Here is an 11,419-nt window from a genome sequence, read left to right as displayed (position 1 = left end):
AGGTTAGTAAATGATGGTCAACTGTATAGCATTTTGAGGAGAAAACAGCCTAACCCCTGAATTATATGTCTAGCCATGTTGCTGTTCATGTAAGACAGAAATAGAAATATACTCTTATAAATGCAAGGACTTAGAAATTGTAGAAACCTTGTATTATTTCTGAAAATAGAATTATTTGAAAAATTTACCAGCCATTCATGAAACATATCAAAATTAAGAACTGATGAATGAGAAGCAAGGTATAAAATTGTTAGCAACATTCATGAAGACCATTTAAACAGTGAGGCAATTGTGCAAATATTTTTAAAAACTGTTTTGGAAAAGAAACCTCAAGATGTAAAATTATTACTTTATAAGAATAAGTGCAATCCGAAATTCAGTATTTAAAACAAAGCCCAATGTTAAAAATGGTCGAAGGGCAGATATTTCTTAAAAAGGGAACACTAATATCCTATTACATAGGGAGATGTCAGAATATATAGTTTTATTCTTGATTTGAGTAATAAAAATTTTTCATACGAAAATGTTTGAAACACAATGAAATATTTCAAACATTCGGAAAAACACAGAGAATAATAAAACACCTATGTACTGTTAAAGAAAAAATTATTCAATGATACTTGGTAAAGCATGGTAAGAAAGAGTTAATTCTGGACCACTGTGATCTGTATAGGGACCACCAGAATAGGATTTTGCAGTGTGGGAGAGAGATTTGTCCCAACTCCAAATAAAGCATGAGCAAGTGGGAACTTATAGTCAAGGAGCAGGAGGGGGGTCAGTGGTTGGAAAATTACTAAAAGGAGACATCATGGGTAAGGGAGATTCTGGGTAAGCCAACTTTGCTGAAGACAGGCCAGGGTAATCAGACATCACCTGGGGGATGGTGGAGGATGAGAAACCCAATCAAATACTGATGGTGATTGGATACTAAGAGTGGGGGTTTCATACTAAACTGACTTAGTATGGCTCTTTGCTAAAATTTGCATTCTACAAGGAAGTGCACAGATGGGCCTAGGAGAAGGGTCAGGATCCTGACTAAAGTTTGTTTAAGCAGAGAATCTTTGTCAATACCTACCATCCAGATTGAACAGATTTTTGTCATATTTGCTTCAAATCTCTTCCTCTTCCCCTTATTTTATTTTTTTAAGAAAGAAAACATTATAGACTGAGCTCATGACACTTTGTACCCCTCTCCCATTTCATTCTCTCACTTTCCTTTCTAATTTCTGCCACAATCCTGAAAAGTATCATGCCTGTTTGGTTTCTAAGGTTACCAAATATGTTTTCATCTTTCACAATAGTAGAAAACTGGTTTATGTGTTTTAAAATTCTACAGAATATATCATGATTTACATATCATCTTAAAACAATATTGAGTGGAAAATGCAAATTACATAATTATGGAAATCCTACAGCAGCTAAAATGAAAGAACTCGATTTATATGTGCTAACATGAATGAATTTTAAAACATTTTATGTGGTATAAATGCTGCTTTTGTAATAATGTAGTATTGATATATGTATAAATCAAATGTAATAACCTTTGCAGTGATGTGGTTTTATGCCCTATAAATAAACCACAATTTATGTATCAATTTTTTGATTAAAAGATATTTAGATTGTTTCCAGTTATTTCTTATTATAATTAATGATAGAATGCACGTTTGTACTTATCTCTGTGTACTCGCCTGAAAGATTCTTTAGGGTATATGCTTAGAAGAAGAAATGCTAGATTGCTGATTAGGTACTTTTTCAATTTTATTGATATTTTCAAATTATGCTCAAAGTAATACCATTTTACATGTGAGAAATCCTCTTTACTCATACCTTCACAATACTTTGTATTGTCAGACTTTTAGAAATATGCACTCACCATGAGTGAATTTGAATATCTTTCCACATATTTAGTTGACATTGATGTTTACTCTGTAATTCACATATACAAAAATGAGAACTACATATATGCATAAATATCTACATATATACACATACAGATATACATATATATATTCCATTTTAAATTGGGATGTTTGTGTGTTTTTCATGTAGAATGCAGGAGTTTTCATATGACCTGGATACTCCAAATTTATCTGTTATATATTTTGAAAATATCTTTCTGCTGTCTGTGTCTTCTCTTTTCACCGTCTTCATTGGGTCTGTTTTATTTATTTTTGTCAGTAATTTTCTTTATACTTTGTGCTTTTTTCTCTTTTTTGATTTATTTGTCTCTACTCCAAAGTAATAGATATTTTTCTACATTTTTTCTAAAGATTTTAAGTTTGTGTTTTACATATTTAGATCTTTAGGGAGACCATATGTCCCATTCTGCCTAACAGGGTTCCAAATGTTTTAGAATTTTCCCAGATTTTTTATTACATAATGAAGTATTATGATTAATAGTTTCATTAGAATAACTCATTATTTCTTCAGCAGGCCCCCTCTTTAAATTTTCACCTTCTGTCAGTGCTTTGTCTAGTATCTTCTAGTATAATATACAGAGCTCAACTTTAAGCCATGATAAATCTGAAAGATGGCCAATCATAATTCTTCTTTCTTTTCTTAGTCCTTTCTACATGCAGTGTTACCAGTTCTCCTTTTTTAAGGATATCCTAGCAATGAAGTGCTCTCTGACATAAGGAACCAGGGAAAACTAACTCCTTGTAGTGTTTTGTGTTATAAAAGTGTTATACTCTGTTGCTAGTTGTGTTATAGCCTGTGAGATGCATGATTTGTATCTTTGCTAATCATCACCAAATAGATAAGTATTTAACCCTTTGAATATCTACTGTGTAAATCTGACTAGATGTCCTATAAACATATTCAACTTTAACAAATTTGTCTTTTATAAATTTGTCTTGTAAAGTTTGCTAATATTTTATTCAAAATCATTTTGGAAATTTTTAATCCATGTATTCTACAAAAAGAGTACTAAACTAGTTCAGGATTTGTGAATTTTGGCAAACTGAAACTTTTAAAAACAGTGCTTGCAAACAAGCTTGTCTTTATAAAATCTACAGAGGAACAGTATAAATGACACCTCAAATGGTATACAAGATTTAATTTTGAAATATCATTTTCTTATTTTATGGGAAGAATGTTTTGATGGCTCTTCTAATTTAATTAAATATATTTATACTCTCTGGGAATGGAGTAAAATTGATAAGACATAATTCTGCAACATCTCAGTTTGCTAAAAATTTAAAGTATTCTTAAGTTAAAGCAACTAATTTCATTGTTTTACATAAAATATTTGGCAAACAAACAGCCTCCAAAGGGAGGTAAAAACCACCCCCAAAATTCTGTGGTTAAAATATTGTAGTACAAAAAAAAAGGAAGAAAGCAAAAGAGAGATAATTGAGTGAATTTAGTTCATTCTGACCTTGCCAGAAAGTATTTTTAATACGAATACTATTGTGTATAGAGAACTATCCCCAGAATACAACTTTGAAATATGTTGCAGACAATTTTAAGAAAGGGGAATTAAAAATTAAAAACACTAGAATTACATTTTAAAAGAATAATAGCACCTATGATACAGCTTTAGACACCTATAAGGTAAAAAAGTTAACATATGTAAATATCAAAATATAATCATTCTGTTTCTCTTTTGTGTTACAGTTAAGATAATTTATATAAAGACTTTTCTGCTTAATACATGAATATATGCTATTTTTATTTTTGGAGTGAATTTTACTTTTGAAAATATTTTCGTATAAAACTAAATTGTCAATCACCAATGTACTAAAATAATTTAAAACAAGTATTTACAAATAATTATATCAAACTTAAATAGTTTTAATTATTTTTAGTACTCTCACTAAAAACATTCCTGGTTTAAGCAATATATTATGTGATTATCCTAATTATGTTCATCTCAAATTTATTTTTGGGTGAAGTAGGAGTCTAAATTATTTTTTCCAATTATCTAAACAAAAATTTTTAAGTAAAGTATCTCTTTCTTACTGATTTTTATATAGTGATGGTTAATATTGAGTGTCAACTTGATTGGATTGGACAATGCAAAGTATGGTTCCTGGGTGTGTCTGTGAGGAGATTAACATTTGAATCAGTAGACAGGAGAGGCAGACCCACCCTCAATCTGGGTGGGCACCATCTAATCAGCTGCCAGCATAAAAGCAGGCATGGAAAGAGCAGACTGGTTGAGTCGTCTGGCCTCCATCTTTCTCCTATGCTGGATGCTTCCTGCCCTCGAACATCGGACTCCCAAGTTTTTCGGTTTTTGGACTCTTGTACCTACACCAGTGGTTTGTCAAGGGCTCTTAGGCCTTTGGCCACAGACTGAAAGCTGCACTTTCAGCTTACTACTTTCCAGGTTTTAGGACTCAGACTGGCTTCCTGGTTCCTCAGTTTGCAGATGGCCTATTTTGGGACTTCACCTTGTGATCCTGTAAGTCAATACTCCTTAATAAACTCCTTTTTATATATACATCTATCCTATTAGTCCTGTCCCTTTAGAGAACCCTGACTAATACAGATTTTTTTTTACCAGAAGTGGGGAGCTGCTGTAAAGATGTGGATAACAGGCAGAGGCGGGAACTGTTTGGAGGGTTCAGAAGAAGATAGAAAAATGTGGGACACTTTGGAACTTCCTAGAGACTTGGAGTGCTCAGAAGACAGAAAGATGTGAGAAAATTTGGAAGTTCCTAGAGACTTGTTGAATGGCTTTGGCCAAAATGCTGATAGTGATATGAGCAATAAAGTCCAGGCTGAGGTGGTCTCAGATGGAGATGAGGAACTTGCTGGGAACTGGAGTAAAGGTCAGTCTTGCTATGCAGAGACTGGCAGCATTTTGCCCCTGCCCTAGATATCTATGGAACTTTGAACTTGAGAGAGATGATTAATGGTATCTGGCAGCAGAAATTGCTAAGTGGCAAAGCATTCAAAGGGAAGCAGCACATAAAAATTTGGAAAATACACAGCCTAATGATGTGATAGAAAAGAAAAATAAATTTTGAAGAGAAATTCAAGCTGGCTGCAGAAATGTGCATAAATAAAGAGGAGCCAAATGTTAATCCCTAAGACAATGGGAAATATGTCTCCAGGGCATGCCAGAGGTCTTCATGCCAGCCCCTCCCATCACAGGCCTGGATGTCTAGGAGGAAAAAATAGTTTCATGGGCTAGGCCCAGGGCCTTGCTGCTTTGTGCAGTCTCAGGACTTGGTGTTCTGTGTCCCAGCCATGGCTAAAAGGGGCCAATGTAGAGCTCAGGTTGTTGCTTCAGAGGGTGCAAGCCCCAAGCCTTGGTGGATTTCACATGATGTTGTGCCTTCCAGTGCACAAAAATCATGAATTTAGGTTTAAGAACCTGTGCCTAGATTTCAGAAGTTGTATGGGAATGCCTGGATGTCCAGGCCAAAGTCTGTTACAAGGGCAGAGCCCTAATAGAGAACCTCTGCTAGGGCAGTGCAGAATGGAAATGTGAGGTTGGAGCCCCCACAGTGTCCCCAGTGGGGCACTGCCTACTGGAGCTGTAAGAAGAGGGTCACTGTCCTCCAGACTTCAGAATGGTTCAGATCCACCAATAGCTTGCACTGTGCTCATGGAAAAGCTGCAGACACTTAATGCCAGCCATGAAAGTAGCAGGAGTGGGGCTGTACCCTACAAAGCCACAGGGATGGAGCTGTCCAAGGCCATGGTAGCCCACCTCTTGCATCAGCATGACCTGGATGTGAGACATGGAGTCAAAGGAAATAATTTCAGAGCTTTACAATTTGACTGCTCCATTGTATTTTGGACTTACAAGGGGCCTGTAGCCCCTTTGTTTTGGCTAATTTCTCCTATTTGGAATGGGTGTATTTACCCAATGCCTGTACAACCATTATATCTAGGAAGTAACTAACTTACTTTTCATCTTACAGGCTCATAGGTGGAAGGGACTTACCTTTTCTCAGATGAGACTTTGGACTGTGGACTTTTGAGTTAATGGTGAAATGAATTAAGACTTTTGGGGACTGTTGGGAAGGCATGATTCATTTTGAAATGTGAGAACATGAGATTTGGGAGGGGCTTGGGTAGAATGATATGGTTTGGCTGTGTCCCACCTAAATCTCACCTTGAATTGTAATAATCCCCATGTATCAAGAGCTGGGCCAAGTGGAGATAAATGAATCATGGGGGCGGTTTCCCCAATACTGTTCTTGTGGTAGTGAATGAGTCTCAGAAGATCTGATGGTTTTATAAATGGGAGTTCCCCTGCACAAGCTGTCTTGCCTGCCACCATGTAAGATGTGCCTTTGTGTCTCCTTTGTTTTCCACCATGATTGTGAGGCCTCCACAGCCATGTGGAACTGTGAGTATATTAAATCTCTTTCCTTATAAATTACCCAGTCTCAGGTGTGTCTTTATTAGCAGTGTGAGTACAGGCTAATATATATATACTCTTTTTTGAACAGGGTCTCTCTTTCTCATCCAGGCTGGAGTGCAGTGCTGTGATCTTGGCTCATTGCAACCTCCATCTCACTGGCCCAGGTGATCCTCCCACCTCAGCCTTTGGAGTAGCAGGGACTACAGGTACATGCCACCACACCTGGCTATTTTATTTTGTATTTTTAGGAGAGATGGGGTTTTGTCATCAGACGGGGTTTTGACCAGGCTGGTCTCACACTCCAGGGCTCAAGCAATCTGCCTGCCTTGGCCTCCTGAAGTGCTGGGATTACAAGCATTGAGCCACTGTGCCAGGCCCCATATTTTTAATGTACTATGTTTCCATAAAATGTGAGTTTTCTTCTCAGTTCTGTACTCTGTTCTTTTGTACCATTTTTGCATTATCTTAATTACTACAGCTTTGTAATAAATATTTATATGTGGTAGATTTATATCCCAACTTTTTTCTTCAAAATTATCTTTTGATAATTTTGAACTTTATAACTTTATAAACATTATGACAGTCATTGTTCTAAAATTGGTTTTTCCAATTATTGAAAATTTAGAAATGCTACCATTAATATACAAGAATGCTATTTATTTTTCCATAACTTTGTGTCCAGCTATATTTCTGAAGTCTTTAAATAGTTCAAATAGTTTAACTGAGATTATAATTGTGTCATCCAGAAATTGTCTACCATATTTACCTGTTTTATATATTCTTTATGTTTTATTGGACTGATTGGGACTACTAAAAAATATTGAAATGATAAAGAGGTAGTGGATATCCCTATTCCTGATCATAATGCTTGTCCATTAACTGTGAAATTTTGTAACGTTTAGGGAGATACCCTTTTTGAGACTAAAGCTAAAAATATATAATTAATTAGTTTTATATTTTATCAAGTGCTTTTGCTGTGGGTAGTAAGATAATTATATTTTTCTCCAAATCTGTTTCCCTCCTATTCTATCCTATCTATTAATATGGCAAATTACATTTTAAATTTTCTATTGTTAAATCATTTCTTCATGCTAAGATAAACACTATATGGTTATGCTGCATTAAAAATATGTCATATGTATGGTACAAATATTTCATCTTAACTTTTGTATATATATTAATAAGAGAGGTTGGTCTAGATATTTCTTTTCTTGTACTATCTTGGTGTGTGAAAGTTATACTAAGCTCGGAACAAGGATTTGATACACATTTCTTATTTTTATATGTTACACGAGAAATTGCATATATTTGAAGTTACCTGTTTTTGAAGCCTGGGTAAAATCTCAACTTTGAAACTTCCTGGATCTTCTACAGTTTTATGAGTGACAGTGATTGCTGATTTGATATAATAGTACATATCTGATCAGGCTTTATTAAATCTTCTTGAGTCAGTTAATCCCTATATTTTTCCTAGGAAATCTATTAATTTCCTGAAATTTAATTTGAAATATAAAATTTTTTATTTATTGACATCACTGTATTCAATCTATTCTATTTTTAAAAAAAATATGTATATGCAGTTGTTTTCTCTTCTTAGTATTATTTATTTCTTCCCCTTGATTTTAATAGGTTTTTTTATGATTTATACATTTTATTAGTCAATATACACAATCAGCTTTTGACTTTGTTCATCTTTTTTATTTAGAAATGCATTAATTAGAAGTGTTTTAGTTTCCAAAATTTATGGAGAATTTTTCTTGATTATTTTTTTCTTATTGATATTAATGCCATATGGCATGCACTGTAAAAGTCTGGGCTGTGAGAGCAGAAACTTTTTTTTAATGGATTTATTCAACTCTGTCCTTTTTTGTGTCTAACGCTTATCAAATTGATCAGTGCAAATTACCCAGCATGGCCTTACCAGGCCAGATTACACAGATCCTATTTGAGAACTATGGCAGTCATGCTAAAGAGTGGAGTGGTATACATATGTCTTTGCACTCAAGTAAAGGATTTTTTAAAAGATGAATTTTTCTGTTATATAATATCCTTAATTTTATACTTTAGCCATCTTGAACTTCAGTCTGACTCAATGACCTTTCTATGATGATCTCTTCATTATAACAGGACATCTGTACTTACAGGATATCTGTACTCCATGTAAGACCATGGAACATAAAAATTTGAGGTTCTTACCAACACTTAGGATCACTTTTTTTGTTTTCAGATTTGAGTGAAAGCAACAAAGGGTCCCCAGCTGCACAGGTATTCCTCCAAACCATTCTTGTCTTTTTCTCCTTTTCCTCCTTCCTTCTCACATGAATGTTTGAATGTATTCACATATTAATTCATTGTTTTGCATGGGACAGGCACTATGCTAGAAGCAGGGAACCCAGCAGGAAACCACAAATATGAATTCTGCCCTCAAGGATTGTCAGTCTAGATAAGAAGGCAAACAATACCCCCCCACAAAAAATGTACAATAATTATACATGAACTAGCATTGTGATAAGTACTATAAAGCTGGCAAATAAAAAGGAGGTGGTGGTTCTTCTATGGGGAGGAGGCAAAAGAGACTAAAAAAAAAAACTTGAGGTCTCAGGCTTTTTCCATCTTGGTATGGTTAGGCTCTGTGTCCCCACCCAAATCTCATCTTGAATTATACTCCCATAATTCTACTGGGAGGGACCCAGTAGAAGATAATTTGAATAGTGGGGGCGGTTTCACTCATATTGTTCTCATGGTAGTGAGTAAGTCTCACAAGATCTGATGGTTTTATCAGGGGTTTCCACTTTTACATTTTCCTCATTTTCTCTTGCCACCACCATGTAAGAAGTGCATTTTGCCTCCCTCCATGATTCTGAGACCTCCTCAGCCATGTGGCACTGTAAGTCCAGTTAAACCTCTTTTTCTTCACAGTCTTGGGTATATCTTTATTAGCAGTGTGAAAATGGACTAATACAGTAAATTGGTACCAGTAGAGTGGGGCGCTGCTGAAAAGATACCAAAAAATGTTAAATCAATTTTGGAACTGGATAACAGGCAGAGGTTGGAACAGTTTGGAGGGCTCAGAAGAAGACAAGAAAATGTGGGAAAGTTTGGAACTTCCTAGAGACTTATTGAATGGCTTTGACAAAAATGCTGATAGTGATATGAACAATAAGGTCCAGGCTGAGGTGGTCTCAGATGGAGATGAGGAACTTGTTGGGAACTGGAGCAAAGGTGACTCTTGCTTTGTTTTAGCAAAGAGAATGGCAACATTTTGCCCCTGCTCTAAAGATCTGTGGAACTTTGAAGTTGAGAGAGATTATTTAGAGTATCTGGTGGAAGAAATTTCTAAGCAGCAAAGCATTCAAGGAGTGATTTGGGTGCTTTTAAAGCATTCAGTTTTGAAAGGGAAACAGCATAAAAGTTTGGAAATTTTTCATGCTGATGATGAGATAGAAAAGAAAAAAACACTTTCTGAGGAGAATTCTAGGAGGCTGCATATATTTGAGGTGCCGAATGTCCCTCCCCAAGGCATGTCAGAGGTCTTCACAGCAGCCCCTCCTATCCCAGGCCTGGAGGTTTCAGTGGAGAAAATGTTTTTTGTGGGCTAGTCCGAGGGTCTCCGTGCTGTGTGCAGCCTAGGGACTTGGTGCCCTGTGTCCCAGCTGCTCCAGCCATGGCTGAAAGGGGCCAATGCAGAGCTTAGGCCATGGCTTCAAAGGGTGCAAGCCCCAACCTTGGCAGCTTCCATGTAGTGTTGAGCCTGTGATTGTACAGAAGTCAAGAATTGAAATTTGGGGACCTCTGCCTAGATTTCAGAACATATATGGAAACGCCTGGATGCCCAGGCAGAAGTCTGCTGCAGGAGCAGGGCGCTCATGGAGAACCTCTGCTAGGGCAATGTGGAAGGGAAATGTGGGGTCAGAGCCCCAACACAGAGTCCCTACTGTGGCACCACCTAGTGGAGCTATGACAAGAGGGCCACTGTTCTCCAGACCCCAGAAGGGTAGATCCACCGACAGCTTGCACCTTGCACATGGAAAACCACAGACACTCAATGCCAGCCCGTGAAAGCAGCTGAGAGGAATGCTGTATCCAGAAAAGCCACAGGGACAGAGCTTCCCTAGACCATAAGAACCTACCTCTTACATCGGCATGACCCAGATGCGAGACATGGCGTCAAAGGAGATAATTTTGGAACTTTAAGACTTGACTGCACTGCTGGATTTTGGACTTGCATGGGGCTGGTAGCTACTTTGTTTTGGCCAATTTCTCCCATTTGGAATGACTGTATTTACCCAATATCTGTACCACCATTGCGTCTAGGATGTTACTAACTTGCTTTTGATTTTACAGGCTCATAGGCGGAAGGAACTTGCCTCGTCTCAGATAAGTCTGTGGACTTTTGAGTTAATGCTGAAATGAGTTAAGACTTTGGGGGACTGTTAGGAAGACACGATTGGTTTTGAAATGTGAGGACATGATATTTGGAGGGGCCAGGGGCAGAATCGTATGATTTGGCTCTGTGTCTCCACCCAGATCTCATCTTGAATTGTACTCCCATAATTGCCAGGGACCCAATGGGAGATAACTTGAATCATACTGGCTGTTTCCCCCATACTGTTCTCGTGGTAGTGAATAAGTTTCACAAGATCTGATCATTTTATCAGGGGTTTCCACTTCCAGATCTCCTCATTTTCTCTTGCTGCCACCATGTAAGAAGTGCCTTTTGCCTCCTGCTATGATTCTGAGGCCTCCCCAGCCATGTGGAATTGTAAGTCCAATTAAACCTCTTTTTCTTCCCAGTCTCAGTTATGTCTTTATCAGCAGTGTGAAAATGTACTAATACACATCTCCTGACATAGAGAAGAAAAGAATCTGTGTTAGTACTTAGTCACTTTTTTTACCCTCTGGAAGCACAGGGGTTATAAATGTATATCCTGGAGTCTGACTGTTGAATTAATATTCAGGTTCCACTATTACCTGCTGAGGACATTTGAGTATGTTATTTAACCTGTGTATGTGTGTTTCTCCCTATGTAAACTGCAGATAATAACATCCAATTCATAGGATTTTTGTTCAAAGTACATGCAATATTCTATGCAA

General features: G+C 36.8%; 1 long non-coding RNA gene across 1 annotated transcript; it reads left to right on the top strand.

Annotated features, from left to right (window-relative positions):
• The first annotated feature begins 6,413 nt into the window (after positions 1-6,413).
• Positions 6,414-11,118, top strand: LOC124901814 (uncharacterized). Its single transcript, XR_007060644.1, has 2 exons — positions 6,414-6,531; positions 8,553-11,118. It is a non-coding gene; the product is annotated as an uncharacterized LOC124901814 (long non-coding RNA).
• Positions 11,119-11,419: the final 301 nt, after the last annotated feature.

This window comes from Homo sapiens, chromosome 7, assembly GCF_000001405.40.
Source record: "Homo sapiens chromosome 7, GRCh38.p14 Primary Assembly".
Lineage (NCBI taxonomy): Eukaryota > Metazoa > Chordata > Mammalia > Primates > Hominidae > Homo > Homo sapiens.
The sequence above is the reverse complement of the archived record's forward strand: the minus strand, read 5'-3'. Positions and strand labels throughout refer to the sequence as shown.